Raw genomic sequence first — 21,729 nt, forward strand, 5'->3', positions numbered from 1 at the left:
AAGTGCCCACAAATCTTCACTAAGGTTAAACACATGCTGGGCCATAAAGCAAATCTCAACACAATTCAAAGGACAGCAGTCACATGGACCATGTTTTGTAACAACAATAACAAAAATATAACTAGGAAATTCCCATGTTTGGAAGTTAAAAAATATACTTCTAAATAAGCCATGGAATCTGTTGTGATTTCCCAATTTTCATTCCTGACTTTGATTATTTGTGCTTTTCTTTCTCAATCACATCAGAGGTTTACCAATTTTGTCTTTTCAAAGCAGCAACCTTGACTTTGTTGTTCTTTGTTGTGTTTGCTGTTTCATCAACTTTTGCTCTCATTCTTATCTCCTTCAACTTTTAAAAAGATAGTCAATTTAACAACGTTTGTACAAAATTTTTATAAAGTACAGAGCATTTTTATTAAGCCTTAAAATAATCTTGTAAACAGGTCTTTTCCCTCATTTTACAGATGGGAAAATGACAGAACAGGAAATAAATCCATATTATTGCACTGAATGGAATATGGCCCCATGGTTTGCACCCAAGACCAGAGGAACTTCACCTGCTCCTCTCTGGGGCTTTGCCCTGCCCACCCCAGGACCACTACTTATCCTCTGAGATCTTAAGGGACACTCACCAGAAATAGCCATGGTTAAGATGGTAAAAGTCTGGCTCTCACCAACCCTTCCTACAGTAATCTCCAGCACATCTGAATATTGCTGGGAAAACACAGGGGAAACAAGATGTGTACCATGTGAGTGAGCAGGCTGCCCAGGCCAGAAAGGCAAGCGTGAGGCAGCCCTCAACCCCCAACGTGTGGTTACTGGCCTCAGCTGGAGGCTCCTCCTGCTGAGCCCTTTTGCAGCCCGACAAAGACAAAACATGTTTGTTTAGAGACAATGGATTGCTTACTTAGAAGCAAGATACCACTCAGGAACATCCAAAAAATAACTTTTCTCATGTTTCTTCTCAAGTTTTGTCTGAGTAGGGGGTGGTCCTTGAGGGATTTCCTTGACTTCCAGGTAAGAGTTGTCCTCCACTGCCCAAGCATCTAGATGCTGAGTCTTTGGACAGGGCCACCACACTTCAGACTTATTCCATACATTCTTATGCAAATACTTCTCATTCTAGGCAGCCTTCTAAGGACCTTAACACTATTAATGTTTCCAACCCTCATTACAACCTGAGGTTGCTACTATTATCTTTACAAAAGACAGGTGAGGGCCCAGTATGGTAGCCTGTGGTGGTTCAGGCCTGTAATCTCAGCACCTTGGGAGTCTGAGGCTGGGCAGATTACTTGAGGTCAGGAGTTCAAGACCAGCCCAGCCAACAATGATGAAACCCTTTCTCTACCAAAAATACCAAAGTTAGCCTGGCATGGTGGCGCATGCCTGTAATCCCAGCTACTCTGGAGGCTGAGGCATGAGAATTGCTTGAGCTCAGGAGGTGGAGACTGCAGTGAGCTAATGCCCCTGCACTCCAGCCTGGGCGACAGAACGAGACCGTCTTAAAAAAAAAAAAAAAAAAAAAAAAAAAAAAAAAAAAGACACGTGAGGACACACAAGTTTAGTTACTTGCCTAAAGTCATCTGGAAATAAGTGAAAGTCCTTATTTGAACTCAGGCTTCCTTGTGGAGACCATGTCCTCGGCCACTATACTTCACTGACTCTACACAGGTTTCATGCAAACGGCTTCCTTCGCACAATGACACTATCCAGACCTGAGAACCGCCAGGTCTAAATGAGAATGGCTCCTCAGTAGGAAGACAATTGAAGTACTGTATTCTGCTTCCTTCTCCATGTCTCTAGGCCTTTAGCTGAAGCTGGAGAAGAGAAATGAAGGGTCTCCCCAGCCCAGGAACTCCTTGGGTACAGCTGTGGCCAATTACTCAAGGTCTTGATGCAGACAGACTTCAGGTCCCCAATGTCTGCCTTCAGCTAACACCATCTTCAGGTGTTGTCCTGGTGGTGATCCTCTCATTTCTGAATCCCACGGAGGAAAATTCCCCTGCATTGCAGGATTGGTGTTCAGTACCGTTTCACGCCCAGTGTCTTCATACACAAAACATGAAATTATTTTCCAGGCTTTCACCTTCAGACAAATTTGCTAATAGAGACATGCACTCCTATGGAAGGCTATTCCATACTCACTGTTTTTTCAGGCTTTTCTTTTCTCTTTCTCCTCCCCGCTTTTCCCTCCCCCTTTATTTTTCCCACTTGCATATCGTTCTCTGGAAGGAACCGGGGGTGGTGCCTAAACCATGTTCCATCCCTGGTCTGAGCAGGCTCAGCCGCACCAGTTCATTGGGTCTGTGCTACAAGGGAGACCCCACCATGTCTGGGATCAGCCTGAATGGCTTGTATCTGGCTGTAGGTACACTTGAGGACCTGGGCCCATTTCTGGAGCATGCGAGTAGATGGGGGCCGCAGTAGGAGCTTGTCTGGTGCTTAGTGGGGCTGAGGCACTCAGAATCCCCACCTGAGCTGTGGCCATCCTCTCCTTTGTTATTTAGCCTGCATCTCCCCAAAAGTAGACAGTGCATTAGGTTCAGCTGGAGCTCAAGTACGGGAGCTCTCCTGTGTGAGGAGCACATGGAAACCTCAGGTTAAAAACAACCAAAGCTGGTCTCATCTTCAGCAAAAAGAAGCCCAATCCATGTCCCCACGACTACGGGGAACGAGTACTCCATGGCACCCTCCTTCCTGCCCACACATCAGCCCTGCCAGAGACCAGCCTTGCTGGAGGATGCCTGGGCACTTCCGTAGCTGCCTTTACTCAGGTCATCCTAGTTCCTACTCCTCTCAGAAAACCCAATTCAACGTCCTGCCCAGATGTCACCAATTCCTCCCTCTTGGTTGGTCCTAGTCGCTGTCCTCTGAGCACCTGCAGTCTTAATTCATCCATTAGGGTGGTTGTGCTCACAGCCTTTCTCCCTTTATTCATCCTCATCTACCAGAATCTACTCCTGCTGCCATCCTCTCCCACCCAGTACCTGGGACAGGGACAGTGCCTAGTAGATCCTCAAGTATTTGCTGAATAAATCAGTCCAAGTCTGTGTATAGGGTCAGGCTTGCCAGTGTCATGTGCAAAGGAGGATAGAGAGCAAGTATGATCAGAACAGTCCAAGTGGAGCAGTGGTAGAAATGCTCCATCTCCCTTTCCTCCCTCAACTCCACCCTTCCCCACCGCAGCCATCAAAACTTACTGGTAGGGGTTTGGATACAAAGTGAAACAAATATACTCCTAGAAAGAGCATGGAAACTATCTGGCTACAGAGATAGGAGTCCCAGAAGGAGATGGGAAACTACATGGCTGAGATTGTTCTCTTGTAAAGACAATGGGTTTTGAAACCAGATACCAGACTTCAAATTCAGCCTTTGCTGATTGGCCCACTCACAGTATTCTCAGACAGGTTACTCAATTCTCAGAAGAGTCTATTTTTACCCTTTGAGTTACCTAGTTAACAGCTTCATACACAGCAGTAGTTTATGTTCAATTCTACATGTTCCTGACAGAGCTGTGTGTGGTGACTGATCACTCACACAACCTACCTGCTCCCGAGTTAGGATCTGGCCCAGTAACGACGATCACATGGCTCCACTGTGGTCCCCTCAAAATCTATCCTGTGCTCCTCCTAGGGAGGCACCTTCTAACTTCTGGTGAAACCAGCTGAGCTGCTAGCCCTGTGGGATGAGTCTACTACCCTCTCTGGTTTGGATCTGGTATAACTTACCCAACAAAGATCTGGCACACAAATGGCTCTTGGGTATCCTCCATCTAAACTCACAGCCCGTTTTGATTTAAGGAATTTCTTTATTGGAATTCCACTTTACCTCGCCACAAGGAGCTGGCTTTCATGACAAAGAGAGAGTGAGCCCTGAACAAAGTATTCGTTAACATTTTACAACAGACAACATATACATGTCCTGCATGACATCTTTACAATAACACATTCCAAAAACAATCAAACATTTAACAGGATTATTAAGAAACATTAATTTCCTTCTCTCTAGATGACTGGTACTTTAGCTTTTTAGCTTCTGCAATAAAATGCGTTCCTTCTCAGCATTTCTATTCATAGGAATCCCTGAATCACTTCTGTCATGTAAGGTGCGAATTCATGTTGACGGTGTGTTCCATTAGTTACTGAATGTGTCAAAATCCTCTCCACGGTAGAACCTTTTATTGTAGCATAATGTGTGAATACCACTTCCAGGTTATCCCTCATCACAAATTCATCATTCATTATGGGAGTTCATCTGAAACTTTAAAAAAGTTTCATCCATTCAACTAATGTATCACAATAGTACGTTCATCAATTTGCATTTTTTATGAGTGACTCTCTCCTATCTCCTGTTAGACTTGTAAGTCTATGCTTTCTACTTTTCCTAAAAGGAAATCCAAATTTTGTTTCAGAAGTCATCATCACTGCCCCCTCCCAAACCAATTACATCAAGTTTATACTTAAAGACCACTAATATTAAATAAATTTATATTCCCTGAAACCTATCCTCCCTGAATTTGCCTGTTGGAGGCCCTTAGTTTTCCCACTGACCAATGTGTAATTGGGATTCAAAGCTATACCTGAATTTCCTACATTTCTAGTAACAGAATTTACCAAACATGAACTTTCTGATGGTGATTACGTAACTTCTAATTGAAGCCCTTTCCTCATCTGTGTTTTATGTCCAGAAATGTCTACTGATTTTGAAGATTTGCTTCACATTCCATCACTCAGATCTAAGTTTTTCTCTCAAGTATGGACTGTTTTATATCCTGTAAGAGCTGAACTACCTTGACACTGGAGCCTTTCTTGCTTGCTATGATTGAAAATCACATAGAAAGGATTCCTCATAATCCTCTAGGATGGTTTCATTTACACTGTGTAAATTACAAGCCATGACCCCCTACATTCTTACATTCATAAGGTATTTCTTCCATTTGAGTTCGGAGAGACTTGGTAAGCTCTGCCTGCTACAGAGGCATCCTCATCCTGCCCCCATCCAGGGCATTCCCTCCCTCATAGGTTCTCTTCTGGGATGTGCCACTATAACTTCCCACATATATCACATTTAAAGATTCCTCTCCAGTATGGGTTCTTTTATGCTTGGTGAGATTTGATCTGATATTAAAAGCCTTACCACACTCATTACATCGGTATGGCTTCTTTCCAGTGTGGATCCTTTTGTGCTGGTCAAGGACTGATCTATAATTGAAGGATTTCCCACACTCACAATTATAGGGCTGCTTCCCCTGGTGGACACTTTTATGATTGATAAGACTTGAGTGTGAGATGTATGCCTTCCCACACTCATCACATTCATAGGGTTTCTCACCTGTGTGGATCCTTTTATGCACTGTGAGGCCTGAGCTGTTCCTGAAGGCCTTCCCACACCTATCACACACATAGGGTTTCTCCCCTGTGTGGATCCTCTTGTGCTGAGAAAGGAGAGAGCTGTAACTGAAAGATTTCCCACACTCAACACACTTGAAGGGTTTCTCCCCAAGATGGACTCTTTTATGGCTTATAAGAGTTCTGCTTGAGAAAAAAGCTTTTCCACATTCATCACATGTATGGGGTGTCCTGCCAGGGTGGGTACTCTTATGGTTAATAAGGCTTGAGTGTGAGATGTAGGCTTTTCCACACACATCACATTCATAGGGCCTCTCCCCAGTATGGATTCTTTTATGAACTTTAAGGCTTGAGTTGTTTCTGAAGACCTTCTCACACCTGTCACATTCATAGGGTTTCTCTCTAGTGTGGACCCTTCTGTGCTGAGAAAGGAGCGATGTGTAATTAAAAGATTTCTCACACACATCACATTTGTAGGGCTTCTCCCCAAGATGAACTTTTTTGTGGTTTGTAAGGGTTCGGTATGTGATGAAGGCCTTCTCACACTCGTCACACTTAAAGGGCTTCTCCCCAGGGTGTACACTTTTATGATTTATAAGGCTCGAGAGAGAGATGTATGCTTTCCCACATTCTTCACATTTGTAAGGTCGTTCCCCAGTGTGGATTCGTTTATGTACTTTAAGGCCAGAATTATTTCTGAAAGCTTTACCACACTCATCACACCCAAAGGGTTTTTCCCTGGTATGAATCCTTTTATGCTGTTCAAGGGCAGAGCTGTAGTTGAAGGATTTCTCACAATAGCTACATTTATAGGGCTTCTCCCCAAGGTGGATTCCTTTGTGATTTTTAAGGCTAGAGCGTGAGATATAGGCTTTCCCACACACATCACACTTATATGGTTTTTCCCCAGTATGGAGCCTCCTGTGGACTTTGAGGCCTGCATTGTTTCTGAACGTTTTCCCACACACATCACATACATAAGGTCTCTCTCCGGTATGAATAGTTCTGTGTTGAAGAAGTAGTGAGTTATAACTAAAGGATTTCCCACACTCCTTACATTCATGGGCTTTCTTCCCAGGGTGAATGCTTTTATGGACTGCGAGGCCTGAGCTATAGCTGAATGCTTTGCCACAGACATCACACTTGTAAGGTTTCTCTCCTGTGTGGATCCTTTTATGCACTATGAGGCCTGAGCTGTTCCTGAAAGCCTTCCCACATTCATCACATTCATAAGGTTTCTCTCCAGTGTGGATGACTTTATGCTGAATGAGAAGAGAGCTATAATTAAAAGATTTCTCACACTCATCACATTTATAGGGTTTATCTCCAAAGTGGATGCTTTTATGGTTGAGAAGTGTTCTACAAGTAATGAAGGCCTTCCCACACTCATCACATTCGTAAGGTTTCTCACCTGTGTGGATCCTTTTATGGACCCTAAGGCCAGAGCTGTTACTGAAGGTTTTCCCACAGATGTCGCATTCATAGGGCTTCTCCCCCGTGTGGATCCTTTTGTGGACTCTGAGCCCAGAGCTGTTCCTGAAGGCCTTCCCACACTCACCACATTCATAGGGCTTCTCCCCAGTGTGGATCCTTTTATGCTGGTCCAGAACAGAGCTATAATTGAAGGATTTTCCACATTCATCACATTTACAGTTCTTCTCCCCAGAATGGGTGCTTTTGTGGTTTATAAGGCTGGAGTAGGACATGTAGGCTTTCCCACATTCCTCACACTTGTACGGCTTCTCCCCAGTGTGGATCCGTTTGTGGACCCGAAGGCTCGAGCTGCTCCGGAAAGTCCCTCCACAGTCATCACATTCATAGCGCTTTTCCCCAGTGTGCATAATTTTATGTTGAACAAGGCGGGAATTATATTTGAAGGATTTCCCACATTCATCACATTTATGTAATTTCTTAACAGCATTGGTTTTCTGCTGTAGACTAGGGTAGGAGGTTCCATTAATGTTCTCCACACGTTTGCCTTGCTCACTGCCTCTCTGTCCTATAGGCATAGTCTGGTGTGTGATATGCTGTGGGCTCAGATGCAAGCTCTTCTCAGATGCCTCACCTTCCTGTTCTGTCTTTATATTTGCTGTACTCTTGGCTTTGCTGATTGCTTCCCTGATGCTGCTTTTGTCCTCCTTCATCCTGTTTTCCACAGGCTTTTTCTGTTGATTCTCTACCTTGCTATCCCAAACACATGTGTCACCAACCTTAGATTCAGGCATAGGATCCTCCACTTTTGGCCACTTAGATGCTGCATTTCCAACATTTTCATATTCTTCAGTTGGTTCCTCATCCTCAGTGCTCGTCTTCAAATGTGACACTAAACCAAGAAAATGAAAAGGACACCTATTCACTCTCTTAAAAAAAAACAAAAACAAACTGGAATAACAATGAACAACATTCACTTGACAAACATTTACTGACAACATACTGTGTGACAGGTACCATGTGCCATGTACCGGTTTTTAAGTACTAGGGATACAACAATGAATATGACAAAATTTCTGCCCCTGTGGAACTAATGTTAAAATGCTAGAACCCTGGATTTTCAATGGAACAATGAGCTTTTCTATTCTTGCATAACAGCTTAGCATAGGGCAGGGTGAAATGATGCACAGAACCATGGGCAACACCAATCAGTTTTTAAACAATGTCACCCAGTCATGGAAAAACAAACAAGAGGGCAGAAGAAATCTCTGAAGAAGACAGAAAAATTCATAAGTAGGACAAAAGTTAGGTAAAACTTTTTTTTATTATGAAAAGTTAGACAAAATCAGCAGAGGACAGACAAAACTAAAGAGAAAAAATTAGTACCTGGGGAGGGGTATCAGGGAGAAGGCTATGAAACCATGAAGACAGTTACTGCAGAGATGAGGAAGAAGGCAACCTGCATATTAAAATATATTATTAAACGTCTATAATTAAAATAGTATGGTCCTGGTACATAGACAGGCAAATGGAATAGAACAGGAAGTCCAGACATTGTCCCAGGTAGACACAGAAATTAATGATACAGATGATATCTGAAATTACCAGAGAAAAGATGGTCCTTTTAATAGTGTTGTAACAACTATGAAGCCATATGGAAAAAGATAAAATTAAGGCTGGGTGCAGTGGCTCACACCTGTAATCCCACCACTTTGAGAAGCTGAGGTGGGCGGATCACGAGGTCAAGAGATCGAGACCATCCTGGCCAACATGGTTAAGCCGTCTCTAGTAAAAATACAAAAATTAGCTGGGCGTGATGGCACGCACCTCTAATCCCAGCTACTTGGGAGGCTGAGGGAGGAGAATCACTTGAACCTGGGAGGCAGAGGTTGCAGTGAGCCGAGATCGTTCCACTGCACTCCAGCCTGGTGACAGAGCAAGACTCCGTCTCACAAAAAAAAAAAAAAAAAAAGATACAATTAGATCCCATTCTTCACACCATACACACATGAATAAACTCCATATGGAATAGAGCTCTAAATATAAAAAAGCTGTACAAATGCCAGAAAACATGGGTAAATGCCTCTCTGGCCTGAGTATAGAGGAAGCTTTCTAATGATGACTCATATGCAACAAAAGACTGATACATTTTCAAAAACTGAAGAAAAATAAACTACAAATCATACAGGAAAACAGGTAAAAAGATGAACAAACAATTCTTTTAAATGGTCCTTAAACATTCGACTTGATTCATAATGAGAGAAAGATAAATAAGAACTACTGTAAAACACCACTTCTCACCTGTCATATTAGCAAATGTTCAAAGCTTGACAATACACTGTTGATAAGGCTGTGGAGGAAACAGGCACTCTCATACACTGCTGGGAATGCAAACTGGCACAGCCCCTTTTAAGGGGAATTTGCCAATATCTATCAAAACTACATATGCATTTACCCAGAAGTCCTACTTTAGGAATTTATAATGAAGATACACCTCCAACAATATAAAAAACATACATGCACAGAGTGACTCATTATAGCATTAATTGTAACTGCAAAATCTGGAAACCTACATAAATCTCCAAGCACAGAAGACTGGTTAAATAAACTGGAGCATATACACAACGGAGTACTGAAAAAGGACGAGGAGCGCTTCTGAATTGATATGGAGCAATCTGTATATCCTAAAGTCAAAAGGTCAAAGTGAAAAAGAGTAATATACATGCTACGTTTCGTGTAGGAAAGAAAACAGGAAAACAAGCACGTATGTGTTTCTCTTTATAGCAACGATAAACCAGAGAACAATGAGGTTCATCACCTACAAGGGAGGAGTGTGGAGAATGGAGCAGAAGGGATGGGAGAAAGAGAGAGACTCCGAGTATATAGCCTTTTTAATAGTTTTTACTATACAAAATACATAATATTCTACATATTCAAAGAATAAAATTAAACATCAGTGAGGATGGGAAAGGAGAAAAACTGCTAAAACAAAACAAATCAACCTATTTGCATTTCCCATGAATACCACAATCGCAGGAAGAGAACAAAAAAGAAATACAGAAGTAATCCAGGCAACTTAGAAACGTATTTGACTACGTAAGTACATTCAGTCTGGGGAAAGCTGGAGGCGGGGCAGTGGGAAGAGGTACAAATAATTCAACTGTTAGCAGGTTTTCTGTAGAGGTATGAACAAAGCGATTCTGAAACAACTTTAGATGTATTAAGAACCTGAGTAAATGTGTTGATTTTGTTGGGCTCAGGGCTCTCCTAGAGAAAGGGACATAAAAATAAGCAAGAGAAGAAGGCGAAAATGAACCTTGGGATGAATTTGCAGTACTGGTGTGAACTTATGATTTCTAAATCACATATATGTGCATGCATGTATATTCAAGCCTGTATGGCTGTATGCATATATTTGCATATATTTCCTGATTTCCTAGTTCTGTTTGCTGAAAGCCCAAAAAACAAAACACTCCAGTGGTAATGAGCACATCTAGTACCCCATTCTGGGTCTACTATTACCATTATTTACTAAAAGGAACCAGAGCTCCTCAAAGAAATGGCTGATTGCAGGCTGAAAGCAGGAAACATACAAGATGAGCATCATGCTATACCAGCAAGTAAAGAGAGGCTCAAAAAAAGGGTAGGGACACGCTGCAAGACCCAGCTTGAACATCCAGTGTTCAAGCACCGTAATAACTAAGTATAGTGATACATTATAAACCACTGAAGATAGGATTTCATGAGTCTACACAGGTACAAACAGGGGAGAAAGGGAGGCCTCTTGCTTACAGCAGAATGTGAGTGCTGGTTGATAAATGTAGAAGGAATACCAGAATTGGAAAAGTCAGCACTCTGCAACTATCAGAGTAAAGACTGGATCAGGAGAGAATCATCAGTGAATTCTACGTCTAGGAGGAAATTCTGACAAGGAGCAGGATATCCGCATGGTCTTAAATATTTATAATGCTTAAATTATTTACAAGGGGGAAAAATACAAGAGTGGAGAGACAATGCCTTGGCCAGGTGTTCTAATTTAACACCTCCAGAGGGGCAGATAGACATAATATGCTTTTAGTAGGGAGAAGGACACATCACCTATGAGAATGCATTACATGAACTGAATCACCAGGTAAACCCAAAACGAACAATGTTTTCTACTAAAACAGAGGGTGGAGAGAAGAGGGGGGACTGTATTTTTCAAATACATCATTTTCATAAAAGACAAAGAAGAGCTGTACAAATGTTCCAGATTAAAGAAGGCTAAAGAGACTTGACCACTATATTACATTCCTGACCTTGACTGGATCTGTAGCGGAGGGGAAAATTGTTATAGAAAACAATTACATCAGCTGAAAAAGTTGGAAAATGGATGGTAGACTAGGTAAAAGCAGTATCAACTTCCAATTTACTCAATTTGAAAACTTACTGTAGTTATCTATGAGACTATCCCAATCCTTAGGAAATATACGCTGAAGTATTTAGGGATAAAGGGCCATGATGTATATAATTACCTACAAATGGTTTAGAAAAATACTTGCATGTATGAAAGAGAGAGCAAGAGGACAAAATGAAGTCAAATGTTAACTGCAGGTAAATCTGAGTGATGGGAATCTTTTTACTGTTCGTATTCTTGAATTTTTTCTGTGCATTTGAAGTTATTACCAAACAAAAAGTTTTTAAAGTATCAGAAAGCAAATTTGTTTCCTCTTCTACACCTTCCCCTCCAGGTACTGCTTTGCCATCCTACTGCCTGTTGTATCTGGAAAAAGTGGTCTTCACATCCCACTCCTCTCATGCCTCATTTCTTCCACGCAGACCACACTGCATTAGCGTCTTCAGGCTGCTGCTTGCCCTCCGCGCTGCTGCCCCTGGATGTTTCTGGCCCCTCCTTCCACCTTGAGACATTCCTCTCCTGGCTCCACATATTCCCCTGGGAGCCCTCATGGCTCCCAGCACTCCCACACACCGTCTCAGGTCCTCATCTCTGCCCAGGATCCCTCTCAATTACAGAGCCTCATATCCACCTTGCCACCCACACTTTTGCCTAAATCAGAAATGGGCTACTTCCCTTGGCCACATCCAAAACAGCCCCTAGGACCGCTGATTCTATTGCCTAAGTAGTTCTGAAGCTCCCACCCCATCCCCCACCTCCTTCTTACTGCTAAGGCCTTAGTTTGAGCCTTCTAAATTCTCTTCTGCATGACTGCCATCGTTTCTAGACCTTCACTCTTATCCCTGCCCAATTCTTTCTCCAACCACTGTGAAGAATTTTTGTAAAATGCACACCTAGTCACTGGGCAGTGCCAAGTTCTCCCAGGCTACTTACTGTGGCACCTAAAGCCTTCTGCACCAGCCGCCTGTGCAACTGTCAACCCTCACTGCCACTCCACTCACTGATTCTCAGCCTGATCTGTCCTCCTTTGTTTCTTTGACAAGTGGATTATTCGTTTTCTTCCTGTCCTCTGGGATTCCATGTTAGACTGGCTGCTGACTGGCCTGGTCTGCCTAAAATCACAGACACTTTGCCACTTACCTCTCTAACCTAGGTGAAGGCCAGGGGCCTCCCTGTTCTGGCTCTGCTTAAACCCCTCTGTTTGGGTTGGGGCGCATGATGTCCCGTCACCTGATGTAGTTCATCCAATCCTCTTCTTGAGTGAAATCAAAATGGATTAACATAAACATGCATCTTCAATGAAAATAGATGGCTTGAAATGAAATCTATGTTAATCAATACTAAGATCCATCAAAAACACAGGCAGAAAAGCACCAAGACAGCACTAGAGTAAATGCTGCTAAAACATAAAGACAATACAAAGAATGTAACACATAAGGATAATTAAGTTATCCTTATAAACAATACTGGAGATGCATTCTAGGGTATCAGTTATTTCTGAGGCTAAGTGTTGCCCAAGGAACTTAAGACTATTGTCTGCATCCTGTTTGTTTTCCAGGCCCCGGGCTATTCCTATCCAAAGACATGGATATGACAAGGCCCTGCCATCAAGGTGCCTGCAGACTAGTAGGAGAGTCTGGTAGGAAAATAACCATATGATAAAAATGACAGAGGCGGCCGGGCATGGTGGTTCACGCCTGTAATCCCAGCACTTTGGGAGGCTGAGGCGGGCAGATCATGAGATCAGGAGATCGAGACCATCCTGGCTAACACCGTGAAACCCCATCTCTACTAAAAATACAAAAAAATGGCCGGGCATGGTGGTGGGCGCCTGTAGCTCCAGCTACTAGGGAGGCTGAGGCAGGAGAATGGCATGAACCTGGGAGGCGAGCCTGCAGTGAGCTGAGATCGTGCCACTGCACTCCAGCCTGGGTGACAGAGCAAGACTATGTCTCAAAAAAAAAAAAAAAAAAAAAAAAAAGCAAATACAGGACATGGAGGGTGGGAAAGGGGGGATGGACTACAGGAATAGCTTCAGGAAGAGAAGAGTGCCAAGGGAAGAGCAGGTACAGAGGAACTGGTGTTCACCCCCCGAAGACATCTGGGGCAGGCAAAGGGAAAATCAGACAGGTAGGCAAAGACAAGGGCTGCAACCATAAGGAGTCCAGACTTGATCCTCGGGAGCTTCGGGCAAAGGAGTAGCAAACTTGGATATGCGTTTTGGAAAAATTACTTATTTTATTAAACTGGAGTTGGCAAACATTTTCTGTAAGAACCAGGTAGCATATATTTTAGGCTTTGTGGGCCACACAGAACTGCTGAGTACTATTTTTGTTTAAGCATTCCTTTAAAAGTGTAAAAATCATTCTTAGTTTGTAGGCCATACAAAAACAGTCCACAAGCCCAGCAGTGTGCCCACCTCTGTTAGATAATATCAAGGAATCAGAGCTAATTTAGGCTGGTATAATAACGGCATTGTGGCTATGTTAGAACTTTTGTTTTTTTTTTGTTGTTTTTTTGAGACTGAGTCTTGCTCTGTTGCCCAGGCTGGAGTGCAATGGCACGTCTCAGCACACTGCAGCCTCCACCACCCAGGTTCAAGCGATTCTCCTGCCTCAGCCTCCCGAGTAGCTGGGATTACAGGTATGTGCCACCATGCTCAGCTAATTTTTATATTTTTAGTAGAGATGGGGTTTTGCCATGTTGGCAGGCCTGTCTCCAACGCCTGACCTCAGGGGATCCACCCGTCTCAGCCTCCCAAAGTGCTGGGATTACAGGCGTGAACCACCGCACCCAGACCTTTTTTTTTTTTTTTTAAATTCAGACTGAAGTCTGCAGTGAAATGGCATGGAATCTGGAATTTAAAATATTTCAATCAGGAAAAACTAAAAAGGGAAAAGTTAAACAGCAGAATCCTGATAATTGCTGAATCCAAGTGATGGGTATATGGAAGTTCATAAGAAAAAAACTTTAGGCCGGGTACAGTGGCTCACGCCTATAAGCCCAGCTCTTTCGGAGGCCGAGGCAGGTGGGTCACCTGAGGTCAGGAGTTTGAGACCAGCCTGGCCAACATGGTGAAACCCCATCTCTACTAAAAAAAAAAAAAAAAATTAGCTGGGCATGGTGGTGGGCACCTGTAATCCCAGCTACTTGGGAGGCTGAAGCAGGAGAATTGCCTGAATCCAGAAGGTGGAGGTTGCAGTAAGCTGAGATTGTGCCATTGCACTTCAGCCTGGGCAAGAAGAGTGAAACTCTGTCTCAAAAAAAAAAAAAAAAAAAAAGAAAAAAAGAAAAGAAAAAAAAGAAAAATATTTTAAAAAGATCAGGCAAGGTGCAGTGGTTCATGCCTGTAATCTCAGCACATTGGGAGGCTGAGGCAGACAGATCACTTGAGGCTAGGAGTTCAAAACCAGCCTGGCCAATGAGGTGAATCCATCTCTACTAAAAATACAAAAATTAGCCAGATGTGGTGGTGCACACCTGTAGTTCCAGCTACTCGACTTGGGAGGCTGAGGCACAAGAATCGCTTGAACCTGGGAGGCAGAGGTTGCAGTGAGCCAAGATAGCGCCATTGCACTCCAGCCTCGGTGACAGAGCGAGACTCTGTCTCAAAAAAAAAGAAAGATCACTCACACTAGTTGCAGTGGGAGAATGGATTGAGGCAAGACAGGACTGAGTCCTGGAGTTCCAGGAGTAAGTCACTATAATCCAATCAAGACTGATTTGGTAGCTAAGTCATGTGTCCCTGATGACACAAGTAAGGAATTACCCCCAAAACACAACTCTTCCATATAAAGACCCAGAAACTCCTGAATTTCTTAAAAGTTCTAAAGGCTGAATGGACAAGCCCTTTCTAACCAGTTTTCAACACGCAGCATGAGTCTAATAGCCTGGTTACATCAGCCAAAAGCGTCAGACATAGAACGCCACCCACTCCTTCCAAACTACATACGACCAACAACCTCTGGGCACTCTTCCGAGCTTCTTGTTCATGCTTTATCGCCAAGGCCTAGAAAAGTGAATGCAAACAGTTAAGAACCGGCCCTACATTCTTGCTGTCTCTGCCTCCGAGACTCAGGAGCCACTTTTCAAGAGCCGAGACAACTCGTTAGAGAGGAGCCGTGGCCTGCTCTGGCCGAAAACCCCTTCCTATTAACAGACTGCAACTAGCCCGGAACGACTTTCAATTTGCAGAGTCCAACCATATTCCACAAGACAATCTACCACCTCAAGGTTCACGCGTGGATTCTACACCTTAAATCCTTGGATACTGTCTTTGATTTGGAGATGAGCAAAGAAAGGAAACAAGACAAGAGAAAGTGACAAAATGCTTACCAACCCAGAACAAAGAGTACCTAGGAGGGGCAAAATGTACAAAGGAAAGATGGGACTAAGGAACAGAGAAGTGATATGCAGATGAGAAGAGAATATGGTTTGTGTTCTAGCTACTGTTGCATTTGTCTTATGAATATTAGGAATGTATATGATTAACGTGAGTTGGTTCTATTGCTTAAATATAGAAATAAGAATGAAAGGTGATTTTTCCTTAAAGTAAAAAACTGAAATAGAACATTCTCATGCCAAGTAGTGGAGAAGAGATTTCTAGTTGTCGTAGGGGAGGAGGTGAGCAAAGGCGATACTAAAAGGGAGGCTGATTTTCTGAATCAAACCCGGCAGGGACTGGCTTGGAGTCATTGACACAATTAGTCTATTAGGCTAGTGTAACACTAAATATAGGGACAAGTCTCAGAAGGGAAGAACTACTTACGTCTTATTTGTTCTTTAAACACTCTACATCAGTGATTTTGATAACGACTTGTCATATGTAACAATCTGCCAATAACTGGTTGAGTTAATGTAAAAAAATAATTTTCTAACGGCTGTTTAGTTTCTTCTGTAAAAATCCCTACCCTAATACACTGTATTGAGTATACCATTGTTTGAAGTAACAACAAATTGGAGACAACCCAAATGCCCCCGAATAGATCTAAAAAAGGACAGAACATCGAAAACATCCAAACAATGGCCCATCCAATACTTACCACAGCTCTGTAAAACAAAACGAAACAAAACACAACTTCTGTGTTCTGACATGTAGAGACCAGTAAGATAAAGTGAAAGAATCAAGGAGTTAGAAGGATTTCTATCACCTGTGTGAAAAAAGGGGGAACTAACTAGTTATATTTGCCAGTATTTGCAGAAATTCGGAAAAGATACAAAGGAACAAAAGTGGTTACCTAAGAGGGTAGGGCCTAGGAAGATACCTAAGCGGGATGGGAAGAAATCTTTCACTGGTAACTTTTTATATTTTTAATATCCCAGCCATATGAATATATTACATATTTCATATTATTATTTTTTTTAAGCCTTGAGCTTTCACAAAGAAATGCTCCTGCTGGCCAACTACTTTAAATGTCTTAGAGCAGCACACCCAGCCCTGGCATTCCCCAGTGATCTTTTCCGTCCCACCCCTGGGTTCCCGCAGGCTGTCCCCTGGGTCTAAGAAACTCTTCGACCTTCCTCTCCCTACCTAGTTAACTCCTTTTCTGCTTGCAGGAACACGCGGCAGGTCGCCTCCTCCCCGGTGCACCCGTCTGTATGCAGGTGCGCTTCCCCAGATGAGGGCTAGGACGCACCTCCGGGGTCTCTATTCACACCTGCAGCGGGAGCTTATCATCATCACTCACCGACCAAAAAAAAAAAAGAAAAAAAGGTGGTGGGGTGGAGCGGAGGGGAAGAAGGTCGAATCAGATCACCCCTAGAGGTCTCTCTGCCCTCGCAATCACTCTCAAGTCCTAGAGTACCAAACTTAACTGCAGAGGGAGCACGAAATGGTGGGTATTTTGAAGCGCTAATTTTTAGGGATCCCCTCCCATCCAAAACAGGGATGAATAGTTGAGGAACACCGGAGCGGGGCCCTGGCCCTTCTCGGAACGTTGAGCAGACCTAACATGACGCTGGTCCGTTCAAACGTCGCAGTTGTGGCCCACACAGAGCCCAGTCTGTTCCAGGGGCGCGCCCTGCACCCCTCTGCCTGCCCGAGGTCTTCCCTCCCCTCCGCTCCCCAGAAACGCACCCACTGAGACATGTGCGGGGAGGGGGCACGCTTACTCCCACATCCCGCCCGAGACCCGCGGAGCAGCCAAGACCCGGCCAAAAAGGGGAGGGCGTGGCAGGCAAGGGCCGGGGGCGGGAGCGCGGGCGGCCGCGGACTCACGTACTGGCTGTGGCGGCGCCGCGGGAACCCGGCCGCCAGCGGGACAAAAGCGCGGACCGCACGGCCGGAAGAACCCGCGCCGGCCCTGGGGCACTTCCGCGCCCTCTCTGGGACGCTGGAGGACTGACTCGATGGTCCGGGCCGACGGCGCCGGCGGGAGGGAGGGAGGGGAGCGCCTCCTCGGCTATTTATTGAGGACCAGCTGCAGGGCGCGCGCTCCAGGCGCGGCCAGGAGGCCGTGGGCGGGGCTTTCTGTTTCCGTGCCCATTAGCTTCTGGGGTAGGCTGGGGGAGGGGCACAGGTAATAAAGTAAATACCTGCCTACCTGGTTCCTGAACACGTGATTCATTGCCAGGTGTGGGTGCGGGGACGTTCCCGGAAGTGGGGGCCTGGCGGGAAATGGGGGAATCCGGGAGGGGCGCAGGACAGCGCTGGGCTGGGGACCCATTGCCTTCTCAGCTGGTTGGGGGCTGGCCCGAGAGCACCAGCCCTTCCTGGTCGTCAGCACCAGAAGCGCCCCCGGTTAGGCACTGGGGATGCGGAGTGGGAGCGCGCCCCTGGAGCCGTCCCTGGGACCGGGCCACGCTCCCACCCGGGGCGCCAGCTTGGCAGCGACCTCGCCCCCTGCCCACCCCACCGCCGGTGTCGGCTTCCAAACCCAGGGCCTAAAATGACTTTGAAGACCTTTTTTTTTTTTTTAAATTAATGTTTGTGGGTACATAGTAGGTGTCCCTATTTGTCGAGTACGTGAGATATCTTGATACAGACAGGAATGCAATGCGTAATAATCATATCAGGGTTAATGGCGTGTCCATCACTTCAAGCATTTATCCTTTGTGTTACAAGCAATCAAATTATATTCTTATTTTTAAATATACAACTAAGTTATTGGCTATAGTCAGCCTTTTTTAAAAACAGCAACATCTAAATATTTTTCATATTAAGTTTAAATAATTGCAAAGGGTATATTTTTGGCATGCTGTTAATATTAAGAACAAAATTGCTTTCAAGTGTATCCAATGGAATCTAAATCCCTGAAGATTTGGTATTATCCACTTTTAACAGTCATAAGTTTTACATCTTTTAGGGTTTTTTTCCTTGAACTTTTATGTCCCTCACCGGCTTTTTATTCTACTGTAAAAATATTTTCATTCTATGTGCCTCATTGAATTTTATCCTAGTGTAAAATAGTTCTATGCATTGTTTTATTGTTTATTGTTTATCCTAGCATATATGTCCGTAACGAAAGTAGATTACATTTTTTCTTAGTGTTATTTTCTGGATTATTAGCAAAATTATATAAATATTTCAAAATGTTTACTGTTAATTCTTAGACAAAAAGTGAAGTGCTTTGGAAGCACAACTTGTAATGAGATGGATTTTGTTTTACAGCTCAAATTATTTATATTATTTGAATGAATTTTACATATTGCTGGGGTGAGCCGGTGTTTGGCATCAGCTCGACGCCTATTTTTCATTTTTATACATGTGGGTGCTGAGACACTGTGTTCACTCAAGTAGAGGGAATGGGCGTTTCATTGTAGCAATAAGACCCTTGACGGCATTTGGGCTTCACGCCACAACCCCACCCACCTCGAAGAACGTCTGGGCGAGTTAGCAGGCAGCAGCGACTCCTAAGGAGGAGCAGAGCCCCAGGCCCAGGTCTGCAGCTTTAGGTGAGAGCCCCAGAGCGAGCAGAGGATTGGGAGTTAGAGCTGCCCCCAAAGGATAGTGAGACACATGCAGCTGTTGAGCACTTGAAATGTGGGTAGTGCTGCTGAGGATCTGAATTTTTAATTACATTTAATGTAAATAGCCACATGTGGCTAATGGCCACCTTATTGGATAGCACAGCTCTAGAAGGAGCTTCAGGTGGTCCTCACAGGCCTCCAGAATTAAAGCTGCCCTTAAAGGTTCATGGTAGGCAAAGACTGGGTTTTTACCTCTAGGCAGCAAGATAGAAAAATATTCATATCTGGGTTGGAACACTTCGCTCAATGAAAGGTGGTGTGTGTGTGGAAGGGATTATGGGAAACCCACATAAATCATCTTGAGTCAGATGCTTTTTATTTTATCTTATTATTTATTTGTTTTGAGACAAGCTCTCACTTTGTTGCCCAGGCTGGAGTCAGGGTGGCATGATTATGGCTCCCTGCAGCCTCGATCTCCCAGGTTCAAGGGATCCTCCCACCACAGCCTCCCAAGTAGCTGGGACTACAAGTGCATGCCACAACAGCCCCACTAATTTTTGTCTTTTTTGTAGAGATGGGGCCTCACTATGTTGCCCAGGCTGGCCTTGAACTGCTGGGCTCAAGTGATCCGTCTGTCTTGGCCTCTGAAAGTGTTAGAATTCAGGCGTGAGCCACCGTGCCTGTCGGATCCTTTTGATTTTAGATGACGGCTTTTCCTCCTTGAGCCTTGTTATATTGCAGGCACCTTTCATTTGGCCTGTGTCTACATAACACACACAGACAACAGACACAGACACAGACACAGACACATGCTTGCCTTTCTAACACTTTTAGAGATATCTACACATCAGAGCTGAGTTCAGTAGGGCAGTCATTATTCACATGTAGCTTATGGTAGTCTGAATTGAGATGTGCTGTAAATGTAAAATCCACACCACATTTCTAAGACTTAGGAAAAGAGAATGTAAACTATCTTATTAATAATTTTTAATGTTGATTACATGCTGAAATAATATTTTGACTATATTGGGGTAGATCAAATACATGGTTGCAATGAATTTTACCTGTTTCTTTTTACTTTAAATGCATCTAGAAGATCAGAAGTCACATACATGGCTCACAGTACATTTCCATTGAACAGCACTGCTCTAGGAGGCCAATAGGTGCAGCAGTGAGGTTGTCTGGGTTTGCTCTTGCTTTGCTGGCTCATCTACCTCCCTTTGGAGTGGTTTAAGTACAAATTAATGTTGAGCTAAGCCCATAGGGCTTAATTCCAACTCTGTGTTTAGCCATTGAATTTGGTCACAGATTTATTTTTGTTTTTTTTAGAGACAGCATCTTGCTCTGTCACCCAGGATGGAGCGCAGTGGTGTGATCACATAGCTCACTGCAACCTCAGTCTCCTGGGCTCAAGCAGTCCTCCTGCTTCAGCCTCCTGAGTAGCTAGGACTATAGGTGTGAACCACTAGATCCAGATTAAATATTTTTTTTTTTTTGTAGATGGAGTCTCACTGTGTCCTCCAGGCTGGAGTACAGTGGCACGACCTCGACTCACTGCAACCTCTGCTTCCCAGGTTCAAGCGATTCTCCTGTCTCAGCCTCCCACGTAGCTGGGATTATAGGCACATGCCACCACACCAGGCTAATTTTTGTATTTTGGTAGAGACAAGATTTCACCATGTTGGCCAGGCTGGTCTCAAACTCCTGACCTCAGGTGATCCGCCCACCTTGGCCTCCCAAAGTGCTGGGATTACAGGCGTGAGCCACTGCTCCCGGCCTCAGATTAATTTTTTAATTTTTTTTGCAGCGGTAGGGTCTTGCTGTGTTGACCAGGCTGGTCTCAAATTCCTGGGCCTCAAGTGATCCTCCCACCTTGGCTTCCAAAAGTACTGAGATTACAGGTGTGAACCACCATGCCCAATGGCAAATTTATTTTAAAATAAAATCTCTCCTCCCACTGTACCATAATATCAGTTCATTATGTTAAATCTGGAAAACAGAAAAATTATTCTTAATTTAGTAAACTAGTTTTTGGTCTTGTTGCCCAGACTGGAATGCAGTGGCACGATCTCAGTTCACTGCAACCTCCCCCTCCCAGGTTCAAGGGATTCTCCTGCCTCAGCCTCCTGAGTAGCTGGGATTACAGGCGCACACCACCATGCCCAGCTAAGTTTTTGTATTTTTAGTAGAGATGGGGTTTCATCATGTTGGCCAGGCTGGTCTCAAACTCCTGACCTTGGGTGACTCACCTACCTCGGCCTCCCAAAGTGCTGGGATTACAGGCGTGAGCCACCGCGCCCGGCCTAAACTTTCCTTTTTTTAAAAAAAATAGAGACAAGGTCTTACTATGTTGCCCAGGCTGGTCTTGAACTACTGAGCTCAAATGATCCCCCTGCCTCAGCCTCCCAAAGTGCTGGGATTACAAGCATGTGCCACCACACCCAGCCCATAATTTAGTAAATTTTCTTACTTAGTAAACTTTAGTAAACTTAGTAAACTTACTTAGTAAACTTAGTAAACTTTTTTCTATCACCAGTTTGTGAGTGTTTTTCAGATAGTGTCATAATCATACTATATCTGTATTTTTATATAGCATTTTTACAAATAATATTATACATTAGCATTTTTCATGTTTTTACTCTCTGT

At 44.0% G+C, this 21,729-nt stretch overlaps 1 protein-coding gene across 18 annotated transcripts in view, besides 5 other annotated features; it reads right to left on the minus strand.

The window, feature by feature from the left end:
* ZFP62 (ZFP62 zinc finger protein) overlaps nucleotides 1-17,454 on the minus strand; it is a 34,407-nt gene extending 16,953 nt beyond the window's left edge. Inside the window, exons 1-4 of one of the 18 annotated variants that reach the window (NM_001377945.1) lie at nucleotides 17,397-17,454; nucleotides 8,166-8,238; nucleotides 5,332-7,671; nucleotides 3,789-4,260 (exon numbers count right to left, since the gene is read on the minus strand). In NM_001377945.1, coding sequence (NP_001364874.1) covers nucleotides 4,241-4,260; nucleotides 5,332-7,573 — 2,262 coding nt within the window. In that variant the 5' untranslated portion in view covers nucleotides 7,574-7,671; nucleotides 8,166-8,238; nucleotides 17,397-17,454 and the 3' untranslated portion in view covers nucleotides 3,789-4,240. Of the gene's footprint in view, nucleotides 1-389; nucleotides 2,572-3,788; nucleotides 7,672-8,165; nucleotides 8,239-16,217; nucleotides 16,858-17,251 lie in introns of those variants that run through there. The other 17 variants (NM_001377939.1, XM_047417501.1, XM_047417502.1 and 14 more) reach the window with 17 other exon arrangements.
* Nucleotides 667-961: a silencer, noted in NCBI's record as "tiled region #9005; K562 Repressive non-DNase unmatched - State 18:Pol2". NCBI's record gives its function as "represses a minimal TATA promoter and a strong SV40 promoter by Sharpr-MPRA in K562 cells {active_cell/tissue: K562}" and the evidence as "EXISTENCE:reporter gene assay evidence [ECO:0000049][PMID:27701403]".
* Nucleotides 17,034-17,113: an enhancer, noted in NCBI's record as "active region_23772". NCBI's record gives its function as "activates an Ori minimal core promoter by ATAC-STARR-seq in GM12878 lymphoblastoid cells {active_cell/tissue: GM12878}" and the evidence as "EXISTENCE:reporter gene assay evidence [ECO:0000049][PMID:35858748]".
* Nucleotides 17,214-17,663: a silencer, noted in NCBI's record as "silent region_16778". NCBI's record gives its function as "represses an Ori minimal core promoter by ATAC-STARR-seq in GM12878 lymphoblastoid cells {active_cell/tissue: GM12878}" and the evidence as "EXISTENCE:reporter gene assay evidence [ECO:0000049][PMID:35858748]".
* Nucleotides 17,214-18,497: a biological region, named in NCBI's record as "H3K27ac-H3K4me1 hESC enhancer GRCh37_chr5:180288413-180289319".
* Nucleotides 17,591-18,497: an enhancer, noted in NCBI's record as "H3K27ac-H3K4me1 hESC enhancer chr5:180288413-180289319 (GRCh37/hg19 assembly coordinates)". NCBI's record gives its function as "activates a minimal SCP1, AML or CMV promoter by ChIP-STARR-seq in naive H9 embryonic stem cells {active_cell/tissue: H9 hESC(naive)}" and the evidence as "EXISTENCE:reporter gene assay evidence [ECO:0000049][PMID:30033119]".

Source organism: Homo sapiens, chromosome 5 (genome assembly GCF_000001405.40).
Source record: "Homo sapiens chromosome 5, GRCh38.p14 Primary Assembly".
Taxonomy (NCBI): domain Eukaryota; kingdom Metazoa; phylum Chordata; class Mammalia; order Primates; family Hominidae; genus Homo; species Homo sapiens.